Here is a 24612-nt window from a genome sequence, read left to right as displayed (position 1 = left end):
CTAAGCAGACTACAGTGAAAAATGAGGCAGGGAAAACACAGGGTAATAAGAATGATGAATGTTAAGGTTGATTTTGGAGGATTGGGATGGATCAAGGAAGAAAAAAAAACAGTTGGTTTTGGGGGAGAAGATCTAAAATCTCGAATTACTACCTTCTAGTCAGACTTCTCTTTCACTTCAGGCCAGTGCCGGTTTCATTTCTTTCATTGTATGACCTGCGTCCAAGGGCTGTCAGTGTTTTATGATCTCTTTGTGCACTGCTGTGACCAGTAAACTCAAGGAGTCCTCAGGATTAAATATGAGGCAGCTGGCTCCTGTTTAAGTACCCTGTCCTTTGGGACTATTGCCCTGTGGCTTGTATGCGGGATCTCTCATTCCCCCAGCAGACATGGCAGAGCACCCACTCTGGGCCAGGCTGTCACTGAGTTCTTTAACTCACCCTAACCAAGTCTTTTCATCTGAAAAACTAGGAACTTTTCCTCATGAGTCTAAAGTCATCCTCATGACTTTATAGAAGAGATGGAAAGATTAAAAGGGACAATACATAAAGCAGTACAAGGCTTTGAGACATTGTAGTAAACCTATTATTCTTTTTTGTATAATTTTTTTTTCTTTTTTGCGACAGTTTCACTCTTATTGCGTGGGCTGGAGTGCAATGGTGCAATCTCGGCCCCCCTCAACCTCTGCCTCCCGGGTTGAAGCGATTCTCCTTCCTCAGCCTCCCAAGTAGCTGGGATTACAGGCATGGGCCACCATGCCTGGCTAATTTTGTATTTTTGGTAGAGATGGGGTTTCTCCATGTTGGTCAGGCTGGTCTCAAACTCCCGACCTCAGGTGATCTGCCTGACTCAGCCTCCCAAAGTGCTGGGATTACAGGTATGAGCCACTGGGCCAGGCATCTTTTTTGTATAAATTTAAGTGGTACAAGTGCAGTTTTGTTACATGGATATATTACATAGTGATGAAGTCGGGGCTTTTAGGATAACCATCACCCAAAATAATGTACATTGTACCCATTACGTAATTACTCATCCATCTCCCCTCTCCCACCCTCTCAGCCTTCAGAGTCTCCAATGTCTGTTATTCCATGCTCTTTGTCCATGTGCCCTCACTATTTAGCTCCCACTTAAAATGAGAACATGTAGTTATTTAGCTTTCTGTTTCTGAGTATTTCACTTAAAATAAGGCCTCCAGTCCTATCCATGTTTTCATTCCTTTTCATGGCTGAATAGTATTCATATATATATACCTACACTCCACATTTTCTTTCTACGTTAAGCCATTGATGGACACTTAGGCTGACTCTGTATCTTTGCTATTGTGAATAGTGCTGCAGTGAACACACAAGTATAGCTATCTTATTGTTACAATGATTTCTTTTCCTTTGGGTAGATACTGAGTAGTAGGATTGTGAGATTGAATGGTAGCTCTGTTTTTAGTTCTTTGAGAAATCTCCATGCTGTTTTCCATAGAGATACTAATTTCCATTCCCACCAACAGTGTATAAGCATTCTCTGGGAATAGTTTCCATTTGGCTAGTGGGCAGACACATAAAAAGGCACTCTTCCTACTCCTCTGTTCTGTCTTGTTTCTTTTGTTTTCTCTTCTCTTTCTTTCTTTTCTTTTTTTCTTTTTCTTTTTTGATATGGAGTCTCACTCTATTGCCCAGGCACAGTGCAATGGCATGATCCCCGCTCACTGCAACCTCTGCCTCCTGGGTTCAAGCAATTCTCCTGCCTCAGCCTCCCAAGTAGCTGGGATTACTGGCACACACCACCATGCTGGTTAATTTTTGTATTTTTAGTAGAGATGGGTCTTACCACGTTGGCCAGGCTGGCGTCAAACTCCTGACTTCAAGTGATCCGCCCACCTCAGCCTCCCAAAGTGCTGGGATTACAGGCATGAGCCACCACGCCCGGCCAACTCTCTTATTTCAAAGAAGGGAAATAGAGACACACAAAGGTTAAACACCTTGCCTAAGGTTAAACACCGGTTGGTGGCACAGCTGGGATAGTACCTGACCTTCACATCATGTGTCCTTGGATCATGCCAGAGAATGGCAGGCTAAGCAGACGGGACCTTGGGTGACTTAAGCTTGAGTCTGTTGTCTTCCCTCAGCACTCATCCATTTTTTGCTCCTGGATAATTTTCAGAACTGAACTCTTTTGAGTTTTATTGATTTCAGTTGTCCTTCATTGGCTTTTTACACATAGCTGATAAACTTCCAATGCAGTTATTGCTAGAAACAACAAGATTCCTAGAAGCAAAGTGATGTCTCTGGAAATTTTACCCTATGACAGCATTTTCCAGAGTGTATGTCCAAACAGTTCTAAGAGCTGTTAATTGGACTTATTTAAAATGGGGAACTGGGGAGGAGGATGGGGAGAGCGGAGTTCTATGTACTACATACCAAATACTGTATTAGGAAGTCCTGCAGCCAGAAAATCTGATTGATTTTGTTGATCCCCAGCATTTCCCACATCTATTTTATATCAACACACAGGAAAGACTCCCCTTTGATTACAGAATGCCTGGTAGGACAAGTTCCTTAGAAGCCCACACTTCCTTACATAAATACTGGCTCTATTAAGAAGAACACAATTTTGAGCAAAGGAAGCGCCATTGTAAAGCAGTATTTGGCGACCATGGACATTGAGCCACTAACTGAGAGCCTCCCCTATAGAAGGCTCAGGTGCATGATATTAACACTGGGCCTCAGAAAGCCGGAGGGCTAGGCAGAGAAAGGGTGGTCCAGGAGGAGTTAGAAGATCTACTTTTGAGATTCTGGAAAAGACCATAAATTGAATGGATCATGGGTTCATAACTTGGCCGTGATCAGAGAAGAGTAACCAAGGTGAGCAAGAGACAAAGGTTTAATTTTCCAGTTATCACGAAGGGGACAGGCAGGTAGCATATCCAGGTGTACATTTGAAGATCCAAACTATCCTTGAGGAAAGGGCTGCAAAACACATTTCAGCCTAGCAAGCTACCCAGTATTGAGTGCCCGTTGTATGCAAGGGTTTGAAGACACTTAGTGAAGTTGAGGATATAGAGACAAGTTCATCATAATTCCTGCCCTGAAAGAGCCTTACAAACAGGGGATACAGAAGTTTCAACTGCTAATTTCCACATAATGTGAACAATACTGTGCAATATTGCTTAGAGGTATCCAGGTCAGAAATGAAGGTGCTACATAAAAAGGGATAGTACGAATGAACACAGGGGCCTAAAAGATCATGGTGTCCAGAAATAACAAGGAGATAAGCAGAGAGTTCAGGCTGTGTACTAAGGAGCTTGGAATTTAAACTATGGGTCACAGTACTAAAATACTTCTTATCTGACCTATTCCAATGCAAACATATTTTTACTGTGGTACATGAATACACTATAAAACAGAAAAGTTTCATTTTATTATATGTTTGAGTAATTTTAAGTTAATTTAGTAATAATAAACCCTTTTGCTCTTATGAAAAACATAAGTATTCATATGTTTAAACATAGCAATATTATTGAATGTGCTTCATTATTTTTGAAATGTTGGTTTAGTACTTTGTGACACAGTGTTTCATAGTCTTAGTTTTAAGGGCATGTTATACAAATACTAGAATTTAATGGCTATGACTGCAAAAAGGATCCCTCCTAAAATTCACAGATCCAAATGGAAAAAAAGTACATCATTGGCTGGCTGAATACATTTTATACTCATTGTTTCAGTTTAATCCAAAAGTCATACAAAAATATTTGTAGCATTCAGCTATTATATTTAAGTCTCTCTTGATGACCATCATTTGCTTTTGATAATTTATTAAATATTCTTTAGCATTTTGATAACACATTCAAAACCCACCATACAATAAGTCCTCACTTAATGTCATCGATAGGTTAACGGAAACTGTGACTTTTCAGTGAAACAACACACTATGTGCCATAGAAACTTAATTCTTGTTTATATCAACTAACAAGGTAAATTGATTTCTTTATAGTGTATATAATTTCACTTGAAGTTGCAGCCTCCAAGAACTTATCAACCTTAAGTGAAGACTGTAATTTTTTTTATTTGCAAGTTAATTTTCAAAGTTAAATCTATTTTGAAGTTTTCTAAGTATATAGAAATGAGGGCTTTGATAGGTAACATCATTTCTTGGCCTCACAATCCCATAACGATGGAAACAATTTCAAACATTTATTTTCTAAAAGCTCTATCCTGTTTCAGAGTTTCTGTCTGAAAGCACAATATTTACTTTCTCATTTGTCACCTTTCCACCGAAGGGTCAGATTTAAAGTGTGTGTGTGTTTTCAAAAGTGTGAGATAGAATACTACCAGCAACCATCCTTTCTTCACGTGTGCCATCTCTTACATGTCCTTTGCTTTGAGTTAGCCAGCAAAGCTGTGTGTTACAGATTTTCATTGCCACCTCTCATGTCATTAGAAAGTATTGTACAATTGTAATGCTATTTTTAGTCTTGCCTTTATAAAATTATCTAAATCAATGGCATCTAGCAGCGCTTGTGCCTGCTGGCCTCAGGTACTCTGTTGCAGGCTTGCTTAGCAATGATGGAGTCAAGGAATTCATTGCATGGTGCTGACTCTGTGACCTTACTCCATAATTCTTTTGTTATTCCAGTTAAAGCACTGTACCTCTAATGATTCCACATACTCTCTTTTCATAAAATATCGTTATCATTAAAGTAGGAATTTACTGCTCAGTGTATAACTCTGCAGGACAGCTTTCCTTTAGTGCTCACAAAAAAAGTCATTCTTTCTGTCTTTCATTCTCTAAACAGAATCTATCACGTAGCGTAAGCCTACACACAGTACTCTGTACTTTGATTTAATTCCATAGCAAATCTCCCATGTAATTCAGTCTAATACTAGTTGCTTCCATCCTTCAGCGTGGTTTTCTCTGACTCTTCCTGCAATATTTGCTGACAAAGGAACTTACTTCATTTTGTTACCATATTATCTTTGTGTATTTTTACAGCCATTTTTGCCAAGGCAAAAAAAAAAAAAGAAAAAAAGAAAAACAAGTATTCTCCTTACTGGACTTTATTGTCCTTTATTCTGATGAAAGAAATCTCTAAAGCAACTTCTAACCTCTTTTCACAGAGTTCAGTGAAACATTGTCAAGCTTAAGACCGACTTTCACAAGACTTTAAACATCATCCAGAAATTATGGTGACTTCATCTGCATATTCTGAATGCTTTGTTTTTAAATGTCTTGCTAATCACACATCTTTGTACTAACATTAAGTAATATATCAAGGCATAATACACAGTTTGAAGTTCTTCCTGAATGATAGTGGTTGTAAATTCATATTTCAAATAGTCTTGAAAATTTACATTTTTTGCCAGTTTCTTGTCAGATCCAATTAGGGAGTCATTTCTCTACTTTGTAATGTAGCTAAGGAAGAGCTTATACTGGGAACAGAAGTGTCAGCTCAGCTGTTTTCTTGCTATTCACATCAGCTTGTCTTATTGGTATTCTCAATCTGTAGCTCCTTTGTAGAACTCCCTTTTTTAATTATAAACTTTTATTTGGAAGGATGTTAGACTTAAAAGTTTAAAAGGTAGCATAAAGAGTTTGTATATATCTGTCATTCGGTTTCAATTTCCCCTCACATTAACATCTTTTTTTTGGTGGGGGTCGGGGAATGGAGTCTTGCTCTGTCGCCCAGGCTGGAGTGCAGTGGTGTGATCTCAGCTCACTGCAACCTCCACCTCCCAAGTTCAAGCAAGTCTCTCCCTGCCTCAGTCTCCCAAGTAGCTGGGATTACAGGCGCCTGCTACCACACCTGGCTAATTTTTGTATTTTTTTTTAAGTAGAGATGGGGTTTCACCGTGTTGGCCAGGCTGGTCTTAAACTCCTGACCTCAGGTGATCTGCCCACCTCGGCCTCCCAGAGTGCTGGGATTACAGGCATGAGCCACCATGCCTGGCCAGCATCTTCTAACAGTTGTACATTCATCAAAACTGACAAACCAACATCAATATATTGCTTTTCAAGTAAACTTCAAGCTTTCATTGTATTTCACTCAATGTTTCCATTTAAGCTTTATTTCCTTAGTCTCCTTGGGTCTGTCATAATGTCACAGTCTTTCCTGGTTTTTCGTGACTGACCTCAATAGTTTTGTGGAGTACTGGTCAGGTAGTTTCTAAAATGTCCCTTAAGTTGGTTTGTCTAGTATACTTTCTCACGATTAGACTGAGGGGATAGATTTTTGGAAAGACTATCACAGATGTGAAGTGCCCTCCTCCTCACATTGTGTCAGGAGGTACATGATGCCCACATATAACATTACTAGGGATGTTAGCCATTCTTATGTAGTAAAGGCAATGTTTGCTAGGTTTCTCCACTATAAAGTTACTAATTTTTGCCAGGCCTTGGGGGCTCACGCCTGTAATCCCAGCACTTTGGGAGGCTGAGGCGGGTGGATTATGAGCGCAAGAGATCTAGACCATCTTGGCCAACATGGTGAAGCCCCATCTCTACTAAAGATACAAAAATTAGCTGGGTGTGGTGGCGCGCACATGTAATCCCAGCTACTCGGGAGGCTGAGGCAGGAGAATCGCTTGAACCCAGGAGGCGGTTGCAGTGAGCCAAGATTGCACCACTGCACACCAGCCTGGGTGACTCTGTCTCAAAAAAAAAAAAAAGTTTCTAATTTTCCCTTTGATACTTTATTTTTTGAAAGTGAGTCATTATATCTACCCTGCAATGGAAGTGGAGGGATTAAGATCCATCTCCTCGCAAAGGGGGTAGTAGTATCTACATATATTATTAGAATTTCTCTGTAATTAAAGATTGGTCACTTTTTCTCATTTATATTTATTTATTTTAAAAATAATTTATGTCTATATATACTCATTTATTTTATACTTTGGGTTATAATGCAGGACTCTTCTTTAAGGCATTATTCATTTTGTGAGGGTTATTTTAATTCAATATTAGTAATTATAAAATAATATTATGAAATGCACTAAAAATAAGTAATAGTATGGTTGGTTGACAGAAGACTTTGCCAGATTCATTTAAACCCCAGAACACCTCAATATTTGAGAGCGCCATGCCACCATATCATGCCTTCTGCATTGATGCAGCTACATATGGGTGCTCACATGACTTAGCCTCTCCCCTCTCTCCCTCTCTGCCTTTGCTTTTCTCTGTTATGGCAGGGTGGCTTCCTGAGGCCTCCAGCCAGTAGGTAGAGCTTAGTCATTCAACAGATATTAATTGCACACTTGCTATGAGCTAGACACTGGTTACACAATAGTGAACAAGACAGTGCAGGCCTTTGCTCTTCTTGAACTTACATTCTAGTGCAGAATACAGCTATCACACAAGAAAACAAATGATCAATTGTCATTTCAGGCAAAACGTGCAATGAAAACATAAAGAAATCTAAGGCTAATGGAAGAGTGACTAGCACTCATGAACCCAAATTGAAGAGAGAAGCCCCTTTTCTCTTAATGTCTCCTCAAAAGGACTCTGTTGACCCTTCATGGGACAGGTATCCATGCAAGAACCCATCCCTGTGTTCTTAGGAATGGTCAGGAATGACTCACTGGTCAGCTGGAGTCCGTGTCTGGGCTTCTGGCTGGTCAGGCATGACTGACAGCCCCATTAGAGTCATGGGAAGAAGGCCTGATCTACTTCTGCAAAGGGCGGTGATGCGGGGCAGACAAAAGAGCAATAGTGGGCCTCACGGAAGGTGCCTGCTGGGAACCAGGAAGCACAGCTGCCTCTCCCAGGGTTTCCAAGCAGCGAATCCTACGGTGCCCACCCCCAAGGGCATGACTGAAATTCGGCCAAGTTAGCAACATCCCACGGGACTCAAGCCAGCTGCTCCTCCACCCACCTTGGTCAAATTCCTCAGCTAAGGATCCCATGCCAACCTCTAGAGGTGGGATCTGCTTCCTTCTAGCCTGCCTGTCCTCCAGTCACACCCCCGAGGAGGACACTGTGGGGAGGCTAAAATGTGAATACAGTCTTAGTAATTAATTCCATAGAGACAGGAAGAATACGGGCTGGTTATCACTCCTGGTCTTGTGTGGGTTGTCTGCAGGGAAGTCGCATAAAGGCAGCAGTCATTGAGGACACTTAACACTGTTTGCATCTTTTTTCATGTCCTGCTATCAAGACAGCATCAGGAATTCTTTGCATGTAACAGAATCCAGTTCAAATTGGTTTTTACCCCCATTTTATAGCATAAAGGAACCCAACACATTGAACATGATGAACATTAGAGAAAATACAGCTGAATTGTCTCATGGATTCATGACCTTCCCAGCCCTGAGTATTGTGAAAAGTCTTCATTTTCCTGTTGTCCTTTTATCCCCTCCTTAGCCTCTACCTCCTTGGGCAGGGAAAAATAAGAAATGTTACAGAGAACAGAATAAGCAATGATAGGATATAAGACAAGGCCTGGGATTCATGCATTGGCCTAAGTGTCTACATTTTCCAAGTGAGAGGACTAAGTCATCAATGAGTTGGGTCTCTTTTCTTCCCCTTTCCTGGATAATGATGTGTTTTTGTCTGGGAAGAAATTTTTCTTTTCTTTTTTGGCTGAGACTCCTAAAAACCAAAAGGCAATAGGAATCTGTGTGACAGGAGCCAAAGAGTTATGAGTACCAGGACCCTAGACTGCACTGTGGCAAAACTTCCATGGCTGAAAGAGATGTCTTGGTATAAAGGGCACCATTTTTATTTAATTTTTATTTAATAGCAGTACCTGATAATTGTCAGGAATTGGAAAGGAAAAGGAAGGGGGATGAAAGGGAAGCTTCAGCAGCTCATGGGGAGCATAAAAAAGCTGAGATACAATCCATGGGGAGTCAACAAACATTGACCAAGCCTCCTTTTGCATGCAAAGTTGGATAGAACACAGCTCTTGCATTGAAGGATCCAGCAGTCCGGGATGTTGGACAGTGTCACTTTAGCTAGTGCTGAGCCTCCCTCAGAGAGAATCATGTGGGAATGGAGCGTGTATATTCCACAGACTTGATTCACATCACAAGCACTGAGCATGGATCTGCTGCAGGCTCCATGGTGAACACCTATATTAGATTCTCCAGAGAAACAGAACCAATAGGAAATAGAATGTATATGTATCTGAAGATACTAATTATGAGAATTGACCCATGGGTTATGGAGGCAGAGAAGGCCCACCATCTGCCATCTACAAGCTGGATTCCCAGGAAAGCCAGTGTTATAATTCAATCTGAGTCTGAAGGCCTGAGAACCAAGGAAGCTGATGGTTAAATCCCTGTATTCGTCCATCTTCATACTTCTATGAAGAAATATCTGAGACTGGGTGATTTATAAAGAAAAAGAGGTTTAATGGACTCACAGTTCCACCTAGCTAGGTGGAGGCCTCACAATCATGGCAGAAGACGAAGGAGGAGCAAAAGCATGTCTTACATGGCGGCAGGCAAGAGGGCATGTGCAGGGAAACTGCTCTTTATAAAACCATCAGATTTTGTGAGACTTATTCATAATCAAGAGAACAGCACAGGAAAAACCCACCCCGATGACTAAATTACCTCCCACCAAGCCCCTCCCACAACACCTGGAGATTATGGGCACTACAATTCAAGATGAGATTTGGGTGGGGACACAGCCAAACCATATCGGTTCCAGTCTGAAAGGAGGAGAAGACTGATGTCCCAGCTCAAATAGTGAGCCAAAAAAAAAAACAAAAAGCAAATTTCTCCTTCCTCAGTTTTTTGTTCTATCAGGGCCTCAATGGATTGGACGATGGCTCCCTGTACTGGGAAGAGCCATTTGCTTTGCTGAGTCCACTGATTCAGATGCTAATCTCATTTGCAAACACCCTCACAAACACACCTAGAAATAATTGTTTCACCAAATATCAGGGCACACCATGATCCAGTCAAGTTGACACATAAAATTACCTACTACAATGCCATTACAGCTTTTGTTTCATTGATCCTATGCAGCAGGTATTATTATTTTATTTTAAGAGGTTGGAAAATAGAGGTTCAAATATAGTAGGTAGTTTGGAGTAACAGAAAAGGCAATGGTTTGAACCTAAGTCTTACCAGATCAGTGCCTTGCCCCTGCCCAACAGCACTCTTGATCTCTGCCTAGTACTTTTTTTTTGGGGGGGGGTGGGTGGGGGAGCGGGGACAGAGTCTCACTCTGTTGCCCAGGCTGGGGTGCAGTGGAGCAATCTTGGCTCATCGCAACCTCCACCTCCCATCTGCCCAGTACTTTAAACCCAATTTAAAGTGCCTGTGTTTCAGAATAGTCCCCTTTTCGGGTCACTCCTTGAAGTCTAGCCAGGAGGACCTGCCCTTGGCCTGGCTTCCTCTCTGGGCTGTGTTGTCTGTACCTTCCCTGTCCTTGCCCCTCAGGTTGTGTGACAATCTGCAGCCCCATATTTAAAATCTTGTTTCTTACTCCTCCTTCCCCCATAGAGGTTCTGTTTTCATCCAGCCTTCTTCATTGGTAAGGTGACTCTTTCATGAAGTCTAAACCAGATGTCTTTTATAACTGAATGAACACATGCAATATACCTTTATCTCCATCATTTCATCTGTCCTGATATTGACCACAACTTTGCAAAGTACTTGTGGTTCTTTGCAAAGTACTTAGGTTCAAACACCCCTTCTACAGATGAGGGGCTGTCTCTGTGATATTAGGCAACTAGGTGCAGGTTACATAGCAACTAAGTGCAGCTCAGAGCTGGAGCTGGGTCTGGCTTGTAGGTTTGTCTGCTCCTCCTTTTCTCTCATGTGTCATAATCCCGAAGATGACAAGGAAAAGGACTTGTGAAAATATTGTCCTTCTCTTTGAAAATCCAAACAAGGGGATAACAGCGGGAGCTTAAACTCCTTCAAGAAAAAATGACAAGCTCTTTGTCCCTTAGACAAAGAAAAGGGGAATATGTTTCTCCATTCCAAATCCCACATTAGTAGAGCTTTTATCACTGATTTACTGTAGACAGACAAAATGTGAGGATTATTGAGAATGTCATCATCATGATTTCCATTCTTGAACCAAAGGGCAGCTACTGAATACTAACTGCGTGCCAAGCACTGTGGCACTCCAAAAGAATAATAAGTCAAGTTCTTTACCAGCCTGGAAATTCACATCCCAATGCTGCCAGGTGCAGGCATGTAAATAAATAATTACAAGAAGCATGCAATGAGTTCTCTAATAGAGCTACCTGCAAGAGCCTGTAGAGCACTGAAGAAGGACCTAGCAATTGCCTAGGGTGTTATGTTAGGAATGCTTACAATGAGAATCAGAAAACTCAATATGCAGTGGCTTAAAATAAAGTAGGGGGTTTGAATTTCTTACCTGAGAACTCTAGAGTAAGCAAACACAGACACTGGCTCATAGGAGAGCAATGTGTTGACCTCTCATGGTCACAAGATGGCTGTCATGGTTCTAGTCATCACATCTCTGTTTACGATAGAAAGGTGAGTGAAGTGAGAAGAGGACACTAGCCATATGTGAACCTTTTTATTAGGAAATCGAATGCTTCCCTATGTAACTTTTTGGGCATTCCTAGGTCACGTGGCCACCCCTGGCTGCAAGGTAGTCTGGGAAATCAGAGACTTGGATCATCATGATTGGCTTGGATCTTGGGTCATGATCCATTCACAGGGGCAGGGGACATTGCAACTACAAACAAAGTTAGTGTTCTGTTAGGAAGAATGGGGTGGAGGGGGAGACACACAAGGAGGTGTCAATGTGAGTGTTCAGGAAAAGCTTTGCAGAACATGTGCATTTGAGCTCAGCCATGAAGGATGAGCTGGCATTGGTAGAAAAGAAGGTAGGAGGCCAGGCGCGGAGGCTCATGCCTGTAATCCCAGCACTTTAGGAGGCCGAGGTGGGCAGATCAACTGAGGTCAGGAGTTTGAGACCAGACTGGACAACATGGCGAAACCTCGTCTCTACTAAAAATACAAAACATAGCCAGGCGTGGCGGCGCATGCCTGTAGTCCCAGCTACTCGGGAGGCTGAGGCGGGAGAATCGCTTAAACCGGGGAGGTGGAGATTGCAGTGAGCTGAGATCGCATCATTGCACTCCAGCCTGGGTGACAAGATTGAGACTCTGTCTCAGAAAAAAAAAAGAAAAAGAAGAAGGAGGAGGAGGAGGAGGAAAGAAAGAGAGAGAGAGAGAAGAGAGGAAGGAAGGAAGGAAGGAAGAAAGGAAGAGAAAAGAAGGTAGGGTATTGTAGAGAGAAAATAAGGACATTCTAGCAAGGGGGAGAGCACAGGGAAAGGCACAGCATCATGAGAGACAGGTTTAAGAAATACTAGGATTGCCTTTTAGCCTGGATATAGAGCTGGAATCATAAGTGGGAGGCAGTTTGCATCAGGCCTACCTATCAGGCTAGGTGTTATTCTGTGGGTCATAGAAGGTCAGTTGGAGTGTTGAGATGGAGACCCATTTTCTAATGCCTCTTATCCCAGTAACTTGGAAGAGATAAGATCCATGTTCTTATTCACCTGGCCATTTGCACACAGGCTCTGATTTCTTCACTGTTTTGCACCATTAATTACTTTTATGAACCCTCTGGGGTCTAAGTGCATCAGAAGTATTGGCTGGACTCTTTCCACAGCCTTGTCCTTGCACTGAGGTCTTGTTTCTGCCTTTGAACTGCTTTCTTCTGTGCCCTTGATGGGTGATAGAGTTTCTCGTGTCTCCTTTAATCACATGGACTTCTGCTGCCTTCCCAGATGATGTTTAAGTTTCCTGGACAGTAATCAATTTCTGTCAATTTTCTCTGGCTCAGTAGAGGCCGACTCCAAGTCGGCACATATACTCAGCCTTTATAGGCATTTCAGATCCAATCAGATCACACCCATGGGGCCCCTGATGCTTGGCAGCTCCTGCAGCCCACCTGGCATGCAACTTCCATGCCTCCCTCTCTCTGCTTCCTGCCAGACTGGAGGCTCTGCCTGTGTATCTGGGAAATCCTAAATCATCCTGCAGCCTTAGTATCCCAGGGGTGGGTATTAGAAGGGGAAAGTAGGTTTCATTTCTGATCCTGTCATCTTTTGTCAATCTCATGTTCATTTAATGATGACAGATATGGGAGAAATAAGGGACACAGAATTCTAATTTTTCTATCTGCTTGGGTTCAAATCCTGACTCTCCTACTTTCTAGCTGTGTAACTTCAGGCAACGTGCTAAACTTTTCTCATCTGACAGGTAACATAGTAAGAGCATCACTTGTCTCATAGAGTTGTGTAAAGAGTAAATGAGCTATCAGAAGCAAAGTTTTCAGAGCAGTGCCTGGCATACAGTAAGTGTCTGATACATGTTAGCTGCTAATAATAATTATTATTATTACTACTTGATAATGTGCCTCAGAAAGTGGAACAAGTTATCACAGATTTTCATCACAATCCTTGTAGATCCACATGCACTTATCAGCTCCTTACAAAAATCTATTTTGGGTGCATTCTCCAGTGTCACTCTGTCTCAGATGTGAAAGCCTGTCAATAAATGCCTACACCACCAGCTTTTCCTGCCCCCAAGCCAGCAATGATGGCTGATCCTTTCCCTCAAGGGACCAGGACAAGACATTCTTTAGCAGTCACCAGCTTGCTGCCCCCAAGCCAACAATGATGGGTGATCCTTTCCCTCAAGGGACCAGGACAAGACATTCTTTAGCAGTCACCAGCTTGCTGCCCCCAAGCCAACAATGATGGGTGATTCTTTCCCTCAAGGGACCAAGACGTAACATTTCTTAGTAGTCAGACAAGCACTGATAAAAATATATATATATATCAGCAACACAGATCCTGAGTCAGATTTTCAGAGTGAGAGATGTGGTTTAGTGGAAAGAGCAGTGGCCCAGGAGACAGAAGCTGGCCTCTACTTCTACCTCTGCTGTGTGACTCTCGGTAAGTCACTTTCCGACTCTGGGTCTTGGTTTCTTTCCACTTAATGCGCCCTTCCCAGGAAAAATCACCAACAGCCTCTTTAAATGCACGTTATCATACTTGTAGTTTAAAATGGACAGTTTTGTGATACCTTCCTCTCTATCTAAGTTGTAAGTTTCAGGAAGAGAGTATGGTCTCTTGTGTGTATCTCTGCATTCACAGCCCCCAGATCAGTGTCTGGCACAAAATCAGTGCTCATCTTACTATCTGTTGAATAAATAAATGAGATATAATAGAAAGAAAATCATTTCTGAGTGTGATGGTTAAAACTGAGTGTCAACTTGATTGGATTGAAGGATACAGAGTATTGATCCCAGGTGTGTCTGTGAGGGTATTGCCAAAAGAGATTAACATTTGAGTCAGTGGGCTGGAGAAGGCAAATCCACCCTTAATCTGGTGGGCAACATCTAATCAGCTGCCAGCAAATATAAAGCAGGCAGAAAAATGTGAAAAGGAGAGACTGGCCTAGCCTCCCAGCCCACCTCTTTCTCCCGTGCTGGATGCTTCCTGCCCTCAAACATCAGACTCAGTTTTGGGACTTGGACTGGCTCTCTTTGCTCCTCAGCTTGCAGACAGCCTATTGTGGGACCTTGTGATCGTGTAAGTTAAGACTTAATAAACTCCTTTATATATCTACCCTATTAGTTCCGTCCCTCTAGAGAACCCTGACTAATATACTGAGCAAGACAGATCTGATTTTGTTTTAAGCTTGAGCATGTACTCACTTAGTGACCCTGGGCTAGTCTGAGGCTCAGACTCATCCTCTGTAAAATGAAGATAATAATAGAAATCACCATACCAGGTTGTTTTGATTGAATGTGATCCCACAATCACATTCATGAATTTTGAGGGAGAGTGGGAGACAGTCCATTACATCTACTAAGCTATTCAACCCCTGCAGGAGAGAGTAAGGACAGTAGGGGGCTACTGAGGAAACGTGAGAGCTATTTTGTTTCCTCTATAATCCCATGATCACATTCAATGTAGAGAAGTAAATAATAGGTATTATGTATTTAATATCATATATATATATGGATACATACATACATAAAAAACCCTGGCCTGGCCGGATGCAGATGCTCAAAGTGCTGTAATCCTAGCCGTTTGGGAGGCTGAGGCAGGAGGCTCACTTCAGTTTAGGAGTTTGAGACCAGCCTGGACAACATAGTGAGACCTAAGCTCTACAAAAAATAAACAAAATTAGCTGGACATGGTGGTGTGTGCCTGTAGTCCCAGCCACTCAGGGGAAGGATCACTTGAGTCTGGGAGATTGAGGCTGCAGTGAGCCCAGATTGCACCACTGTACTCCAGCCTGGGTGATACAGCATAGACCCTGTCTCTAAAACAACAAACAAACAAACAAACAAAAAACACCAGCCTAATGTCTAGCATATAATGGGTATTGAATACATGGTAGCTATTTAGGTTGGTGCAAAAGTAATTGCAGTTTTTGCAATTTTTAATGGCGAAAACCGCAAGTACTTTTTGTACCAAACTAAATATTATTTATTTAGATCCTAGCACAAGGTAATGGAGTATTCTATGTCCTGATGATTAAAAACTCAGGTGCAAAATGTAAACCTGAATATACCTTAACAGATTTTTGGATGGGCTTGCCGATCAGAGGGAGCTGGATGGGAAAGCACTCTTCAGAACCGCCTTTGCTTGCCTAAGACCTCGCCATCCACTCCCCCATCTTCCTTCTTATGTAACACCAGCACTTGCCTGTAGTGAATACACAAACTAGACAGATGCAGAGCGGGATGAGGCTTGATGAGCTAACAGACGGCTTGCGGTGGGTTGTGGGGCACCAGGAGACCTGGGTCCTAGTCCCAACCCTGACTTGGCACAGACTCACCATGTGATGTTGGGCAGACTCATTTCTCTGTAAATTTCACTCTCCTCATCTGTAAAATGCTCAGCCCTTTAGGACTAGATATAATAGTAGTTAAGAACCTCAGGTTTGGGCTTCAGAGTTGACTTCCAGTCTCAGCACTGCAACTTACCAGCTGTGAGATACAGGCAAGTCACATACCATCTCCATAAAGTGGACAGTGGGATTCAAATGGGCTTGTTTGGAGGATTTAATGAGACCATGTCTCTTAAGTACCTGGCAGATTTGTGCACAATCCATTAAGCTTTGTTTGCGGGGTCCATAGGCCAGCCCTTCTTTTCACTTAGTTTAAGTTTCTCCCTGTTGAAGAAGCTTAACATTTCCTCAGTCAGATCCACATCCATCAACCTTCCTGCTGGCTCAGCACTTGGCAAGCACCGGAATCATTCGCAAAGACGACACGATCCCCCCACTGGGTGTGAGTGACACCAGCCCACATGCAATTATTTTAATGCATGGCCCAGGATCTTATGCCCAGATCAAATGTGTTCTCAGGGGAGAGTCTTCCCTCTCCTACCCTTCAAAAGGCACAAGAAGAAAAGCACATATTGCACACTCATACGTCCCTGAAATGTAAGCCTCATCGAATAGTTTCATCCCTGCCAGCCGTCTCTACTCTCCTGAATGCGGAGTGCTTGCTTTCTGACTGATGGCGGCAGGAAGGAGAAAGGAGGGCAGAACTCCTTCCCTGCCCCATCTTTGAGAGGGTAGGAAACCCACACTTATGGAACCACTCTAACATGGAAGCACTGAGCTAGGCATTTGTTTAACCCTCTTACCTACTTGCTGATCCCCACCTTGCACTTGAGGAAACAGGTTCCAAGAAGAGAAACGAGTTGTTCAAGGACACACACAGCTAAGTAAAGAGCATAGCTGGAATTCAGACCTCGGCTGGTCTGAGGTTCATAGTTCTTACTCTGGCTACTGTATCATTCGTTGTTGGTTATGGGAGTTCGTGGGGATGTGGTTTGGACCAAATAGGTTTCCCCATAATTCACTGTGCCATGAGAGAGAAAACTGGTCTTCTAGAGCAGTATTTATCCAGCCAACTTCAATGGGTATTGCTATTGCACATTGCCAAAATAGAGGACAGAGGGAGCTGGGTCTTCCAGTCCTCTCTTCAGATGGCAGGCTCTGGACCCTGCTGCAGACTCTCATAGATGGAACCCAACCAAAGGAGGGAAACAAGAAGTGACTGAGCTGTGGATACCCAGTTCCTTCCCTCAGTGTCGTAGTCCAGTCTGGCTGCTTGATGTTTATTTCTCAGTTTCTGGAGGCTGGGAAGTCCAAGGTTAGGGCGCTGGCAGATTTGGTGTCTGGTGAGGGCATGCCTTTCGGTTCATAGTCAGCACCTTTTCCATCTGTCTTCACATGGTGGAAGCAAGCAAGGGAGCACTTTGGGGTGTCTTTTCTAAGGGCGCTAATCCACTCACGAGGGTTCTTCCCTTGTGACCTAATGACTTCTCGAAGATCCCACCTCCTAATGTCATCACCTTGGCGATTAGGCTTTCCACATGTGAATTTTGTGGGGGAATGGGAGATAGTCCATTACATTTGATATACTGTTCAACCCCCACAGGAGGAGAGAGTAAAGGTAGTAGGGGGCTATTGAGGGAAAAGCTATTTCATTTCCTCTATAATCAGACAAAGCATGAAACAGAATGTTTTAAAAGCTTGGCTTCTGTCCTCCACAGTGTATAGGAAAGAATGTGGGCTTGGGAATCAGACATGCTTGTGTTTGAAGCCTAGCTCCCATGTTTACCAGCAAGGTGGCCATAGGCAAGTCACTTCTTCACTGTTTCTTCCCCTTTACGATTGCATGCCTTGCTAGGGTCATTGTGAGGACTAAAAGAAGCCAATGAATGTAAAACTGCTGGTGAAGTGTTCAACCCATGGGTGAGCCCCCCAGGAGAAGGCTCCCAGTCAAGGGCATGAGCAGTGGCCACTCAGTACAGGCTTCCCTTTCCCGTCACAGGTGTCCCATGGAGGGTTCTCTGGGGACTGTGCTCAGGTATTCATGCCGTTGCACTGGGCTGAGCCTTGCCTTGGTGTCTGCCAAGGAGCATTGAGAATATGATCATATATGACCAGGGCCACCTCACAGTGCAGTCCTCATGGGGTCTTTCCCTGGCTTAGCTGTTTTTGATGGTGTGTGATTTCCCTCACCTGGACTCAACCTGTCCCCTTGGACCCTCTGCCTCCACCCATCATTCAGGGTTCAGCTTATGTGGCTCAACTGTGAGAGGCCATCTGATTGGCCCAGCCATCAGTCTCCTGGGTCCCTGTGTGCTGATCTCAGACACAGTGCAAGCCCAGTGAGTAGTTAAGCAGGTGGACTCTGGAACCAGGCTTCAGAGGTTCCAAGCCTACTTTTCTGTGACCACAGGCAAATTACAGAGTCTTTCTGTGCCTCTACTTCCCCATCTGTAAAATGGAGTTAATAATCATGCTGCCCCATAGGCCTGTTGTGCGTATTAAATAAACTAATACAAATTATGTCTTGCTGATCATGGTTATTCTATAGTAATAATGAATCATTTTTAATACTAACAATGAATGCCACCAGATATTAATAATAAATTAAGGTGCTTTCTTAGAATAAATTTTAGTACTATTAAATATTCTAGGCCAGGCGTGGTAGCTCACACCTGTAATCCCAGAACTTTGGGAGGCCAAGGTGGGAGGATCACTTGAGCCCAGGAGTTTGAGACCAGCCTGGGCAACATGGCAAAACCCCATCTCTACAAAATACAAAAACTTAGCTGTGCATAGTGGCATGTGCCTGGTCCCAGCTATTCAGAGGGCTGAGGTGGGAGGATCACCTGAGCCCAGGAGGTCAAGGCTGCAGTGAGCCAAGAGTGCACTTTGTTATGACCATGTCATAAACAAATAAATATTTTATAAATATTTTATTGCTTTTCCCAGATTTTTTTTTCTTGTGCATATCTTGTCTCTCCAATCAAACTGTCTACAAGGCCTTCTGTCTCGGCTGGAAGTTACAGCGGACTCTTAACCATCATCCTAGGCTCTAGTTTTGCATCTCCCATCCTGCGACTTGCATCTTCTTCATTATGAATAGAGTGATCTTTCTGAAACCTAGAGTTACGGATGTTCCTCCTGCTGAAAATCTGCAGTACCTACAGTCTGAGTGCTGACCATGGGCCTCTCAGGTCCAGGGCATGACCCCACGACGCCACTACCAACATTTTTCCGCCCCTTGTGCGGAAAGACCCCATATCTTTCCGCCCCTTGTGCTCCAGCTAGAGCACTTGAGTTCTCATGCTCCAAATGAGCCACCCCACCCCAACACAACACATCTTCCCTCTGTCCCAGGCCCTGTCTCCCTCAAGCTCCAGCACAAGCATCTTCTTCTTTGATGCTTCTCTGATCATTCTTCAGCTCTCATTTCTTCTTCTTCTTTTTTTTTTTTTTTTTTTATTTTTTGAGACGGAGTCTCGCTTTGTTGCCCAGGCTGGAGTGCAGTGGTGCAATCTCGGCCCACCGCAACCTCCACCTCCTGGGTTCAGGTGATTCTCTTGCCTCAGCCTCCTGAGTAGCTGGGATTACAAGCACCTGCCACCACGCCCAGCTAATTTTTATATTTTTGGTGGAGACAGGGTTTCACCATGTTGGCCAGGCTGGTCTTGAACTCCTGACCTCAGGTGATCTGCCCACCTCAGCCTCCCAAAGTGCTGGCATTACAGGCATGAGCCACCGCACCCGGCCTCTCATTTATTCTTGATCGTCTCTCCATTATCACATTCAAATTACCTGTTTGTGGACACTTTTCCCCAACTGACCATGAGTGTGCCAAGGGAGGGACCCAGTGTCCTATGTCTCTGGCTGCTTCCCAGCCCTCTATACTCTAGGCACTCAGTAGTCAGAACCAGCATCTACTGAGCACTTACCATGTGCTAGGCATTATTTACATGCTTTATAGGCATGAACTTGTTTATTTTTCAAAAAAGCTTTATGAGACAGTGTATCATTCAACGTCCTAGCTGGAGGCAGAAACCACAGCAATTATTTGAACAGAGAATTTAATCTTTAAAAATAGTTATAAGGCATAAAGTGTTCACTTGGTACAGGAAGCACTACCCTAGAGCTGAAGAAATAGGAGGAGGAGGTAGGAATGATTAAAACCTGGGGCCAGGACCCAGACCTCTAGGATGGCATCACCAACCGATTCCAGAGGCAGCATCACTGGGCCGAGAAGTAGGGACAGCGAAGCGTGTTCTGAGTGTGGGAAAAACTGCAGAATGGATGTAGCTGCTGCTAAAGGAAGGAGGTGCCACTGCTGGGCTGAAAAAATGGGACTAGGGTGATGCCCACAGGGACAGGAAGCAACAGGAGGAGCAAGCGCCTTTCTCCCCTTCCAGACCCTTCATGTCCCAGTCATGCTCCCTCTGGGTGGCACCTACAGGCAGCAGGTGGCCAAGCAGAATTAGGGTTTGTAGAGTCGTGGCCTAAGCATCACATCTTAGGGCTGAGAGATGACAATGTAATAACTGGCACAGATTATTCCCATTTCACAGATGAGGAAACTGAGGCACAGAGATTCAGTCACTTGTGTGAGATTAAAGGACTACCTAGAGCAGAGGCAGGGTTTGATCCCAGGTGACCTGGCCCCCGAGCCCCTACCCTTAACCACTCTGCCAAAATGTTGAATGAGCGAATGAGCAGACCCTCAAATAATGCTTAGCCCAGTGCTGAGCCATGGCTTCCTACAGGTGTGAGGGATCCCCACCCCACCCCTGCCATACCTGACCACTTCCTTATCTCCCTGCCAGGTCATTCACTGGAACTCCCCCAAGAAGCTCCGGGTGAAGAACAAGCATGTGGAGTTTTTTCGCAACCTCTACCTGACCTTCCTGGAGTATGACGGCAATCTTCTGAGGCGGGAACTGTTTGGCTGCCCCAGTGAGGCTGATGTCAACAGTGAAAACGTAAGTGGCTCGCAAGGCTGGGCAGGGAAGGGGCGGCTTCTCTGCTCATCCATCAAGGACCTCCCCCATGCCAGGCTCTATGTCAGGCTCATGGCAGGACCTAGGTGAACACAACGCCATCGGTGCCCAGGGTCCACCATCTAGTCGGGGAGAGAGGTACATCAGCGGGTCCTTTGCATGCTCATCATTGTGGATGCAGACAGGGTATGTTTGGTCCAGACGAGGTGAAGTCAGAAGTGAGTTTCCAAGCAGAGGAAACAGAATGAACAAAACCACCAGTGAAAGGAAAGATCAAGTGTCTCTCATAGCCAGGAAACACCAATGTTTTTGTGGACATGATACCCACATGGGAGACCCTGGATTCAGTGTAGTCAGTGCATGGGGAAACACAAAAAGAGCTTTTCACAAGTAACTGGCTCCTTTAGGGTGAGCATGGGTGAAGACAGTGTTAGGTAGGTACTAAGTCACCGCCATAGCTACAGTCTACTATAGCTATTCCTGTTTCTCTGTCTCTTCACCACTTATAATTTGTTCATATGCTGTATCTCATTTGATGTTCATAGAAACCCACTTTTTTTTTTTTTTTTGACAGAGTTTCACTCTGTCACCCAGGCTGGAGTGCAGTGGCGTGATCTTGGCTCACTGCAACCTCTGCCTCCCGGGTTCAAGCGATTCTCCCGCCTCAGCCTCCCAAGTAATTGGGATTACAGGCATGCACCACCACACCCGGCTAATTTTTTGTATTTTTAGTAGAGATGGGGTTTCACCGTGTTAGCCAGGATGGTCTCGATCTCCTGACCTCGTGATCCGCCTGCCTTGGCCTCCCAAAGTGCTGGAATTACAGGTGTGAGCCACCGCGCCCGGCCAGAACCGACTTTTTAGAGTTGAGTAAGTTGAGGCACAGAGAGATTAGGCAGGTTGCCCATGGCCCCACAGGAAACAAGGAGCAACGTTGAGACTGGTTGTGAGTTTCTTAGGATATAGAGAAGAGGCACTTTAACAGAAAAAGCAGGGCATGGGGAGTCAGGCTGACCTGGGTTTGGCTTTAATTCCTTCCAGTTACTACCTGTGTGATCTCAGATAAGTGACTCAACCTCTGTGCTTCATTTTCTTCAACTGTCAAATGGAGAATAAAAACTTTTGTGGGGCCAGGCGCGGTGGCTCACACCTGTAATCTCAGCACTTTAGGAGGCTGAGGCAGGCGGATCACTTGAGGTCAGGAGTTTAAGACAAGCCTGGCTAACATGGTGAAACCCCATCTCTACTAAAAATACAAAAATTACCAGGCATGGTGGCAGGCACCTATAATCCCAGCTACTCGGGAGGCTGAGGTAGGAGAATTGCTTGAACCCGGGAGGCGGAGGTTACAGTGAGCCGAGATCATGCCACTACACTCAAGCCTGGGCAACAAAGTGAGACTCTCTCAAAAACAACAACAATAACAACAAACTTACATGGGATGTTTTGACAGTAGCTGAAAAGTTGCATGCAAAGCACCTAGCTTGGTGTTGGCCCTGTGTTACATGCATAGTCAATATTTGCACTCTGCTCTTTCCTTGACCCTTAGTATTAGACACAGAAGTACCTGGTTCATTCCTTTAGGCAGCAAACATTTACTGAGGACCTTCTACTTATTCTGCACACTAAGTATTCGTAGATGAAAAAGGACTTTGGTTCCTGATCTCATGATGTTTATATTCTGGTGGAGGAGACACAGTTAATAACTAAACTCGCAGAAAACAATGATCAGCCAGTGGCAACTGCTACATAGCAATATATTAGTGAGCAGCTCCACTGGTTTAAGGATTTCTATGAGGAGGTGACGTTTAGTCTGAAACCTAAATGACATGAATGAGCCTCCCAGAGAAGAGCAAAGGGAGCACGTTCCAGGTAGAGGAAGTAGCTGGTGCAAAGGCCCTGAGGCAGGACAGGTTCGGGGTGTGGAACAGAAGGATGGCCAGTGTGCCTAGGAGCTAGTGGGGAGGGAGGGCTCAGGTAGGCAGGAGCCAGATTGGTAGGAGGTTGTATGTTGGATTTCAGATTCAGAATTTTGATTTATTGTTGTTGCTGCTGTTTTTATAGTTATTTTTTATAGTTATTTTGGATGTAGTGAGAATTCTTTTAGGCTCCCAATGGCAGGGAAGGGCACCTGTGGAAGGACCAGAGGCATGTACTCGCCTGGCCTTTTATCAGGATGACCCTGGTCACAGTGCGCCCCTGCTCTCTGTGACTGGGTCCCCAAGTCACAGTGGATCGCCACTGGCTCTGGCCCTTCTCCCCATCACCCTAGAGGCCTTCTCAGCATCTGCCCTCCTTCGCATCTAGTGATAAAGGAAAGAAAACCATTAAGCACTGGAACTCTTTCAGATTCTGGGAAGCACTTAGAGGCTCAACAAACACTGTTCTTTCAGTTTTTCCTTCAGTTCTCTTTGCTCACATCAGTATGTATCATCATCAAGATTTGAGTGCCCATTCGGCACATTTTTGCAAACGTTAAATGGAAACTGTTCTCCTACCTCGTTTATTTCCCCCCTCCATGGAGAAGGCTCCCATAAAAAGCCTTGCAGGATGAAGCCGTCAGTTAATCATTTGTATCAGTGCATTCCCATGCCATGCTGCTGCTCAGTGTTATAAGAAATGAGACTCCTTTTATGAGTGACTCACCAGCTTTTCCTACCATCTCCTTCCCCTGGGGGGATCGGCGAGGTGAAGAAGTCGTCGGTGGTCTTTCTCGGAATCCGTGACCATACTTATTTGCTCAGGAAGAATGCGTGAATGCTGGCCATCTGCCAGGAGCCGTGTAGCTCACGGGGGTTGAACTTAGAGACTGAGCCCACCCCTGTATGTAAGTGGCCTGAAGCTTAACAGCTCTTAGAGATGCCAACAGGAAGGGCCGTCTGGGCCCAGGAGGCCCATGAATGAGAAAGCAGCCTGCTCTAAGCAGTCACCATGGCTGTCATCCCAGTCTCTCTCCCCTCTCTCCCTTGACCACTATGCATGGGCCACATCCACCTCCTTTCTGTGCTTTCTACATTCTGGGCTCACCATAGGGCTTTCGTGCTTGCTATTCCCACTGGCGGGAACACCCTGACCCTCTGTGTTTAAATGTCTCAGCTGTGACATCACAGAAACTTTGCAATCCCCTACCCCCACACAAAGTAATCCATTAAGTCACTGTCTATGACATGCCCTGTTTCTTTTTGTTTGGTGTTTTTTTTTTTTGTTTTTTTTTTTTTGAGACAGAGTCTTGCTCTGTCGCCAGGCTAGAGTGCAGTGGCGCGATCTCAGCTCACTGTAACCTCCGCCTCTCCGGTTCAAGCAATTCTGCTTCAGCTTCCTGAGTAGCCAGGGCTACAGGTGCACACCACCATGCCCAGCTAATTTTTGTATTTTTAGTAGACACAGGGTTTCACCATGTTGGCCAGGATGGTCTTGATCATGATCACCTTTCATGATCCACCTGCCTCGGCCTCCCAAAGTGCTGGGATTACAGGCATGAGCCACCGCGCCTGGCTTTTTTTTTGAGACGGAATCTCGCACTGTCGCCCCAGCTGGAGTGCAGTGCCGCGATCTCGGCTCATGGCAACCTCTCCCTCCCAGATTCAAGCAATTCTTCTTGGCTCAGCCTCCCAAGTAGCTGGAATCAGAGGTGCCTGCCACCATACCCGGCTAACTTTTTTTGTATTTTTAGTAGAGACAGGTTTTCGCTGTGTCGGCCAGGCTGGTCTCGAACTCCTGACCTCAGGTGATCCACCCACCTCAGCCTCCCAAAGTGCTGGGATTACAGGCATGAGCCACTGCACCCAGCCCCTGTTTTCTTTTTGTCAGAGCATCTACTCCTGTTTAC

General features: G+C 44.4%; 1 protein-coding gene across 26 annotated transcripts in view; it reads left to right on the top strand.

Moving 5' to 3' along the window:
* LARGE1 (LARGE xylosyl- and glucuronyltransferase 1) overlaps window positions 1-24612 on the top strand; it is an 856162-nt gene that overhangs the window by 564414 nt on the left and 267136 nt on the right. For 24 of the 26 annotated variants that reach the window (XR_007067993.1, XR_002958722.2, XR_007067994.1 and 21 more), the window contains one exon: window positions 20610-20765. The exons of the other annotated variants lie outside the window; for them this stretch is intronic. Coding sequence is in view for 21 of the 24 variants with exons in the window: in XM_024452302.2 (XP_024308070.1) it covers window positions 20610-20765 (156 nt within the window). In the remaining 3 variants the exon portion in view is untranslated. The remainder of the gene's footprint in view (window positions 1-20609; window positions 20766-24612) is intronic. 26 annotated transcript variants of the gene reach the window in all.

The sequence above is a fragment of the Homo sapiens genome, chromosome 22 (assembly GCF_000001405.40).
Source record: "Homo sapiens chromosome 22, GRCh38.p14 Primary Assembly".
In the NCBI taxonomy this organism is placed as follows: Eukaryota; Metazoa; Chordata; class Mammalia; order Primates; family Hominidae; genus Homo; species Homo sapiens.
The sequence above is the reverse complement of the archived record's forward strand: the minus strand, read 5'-3'. Positions and strand labels throughout refer to the sequence as shown.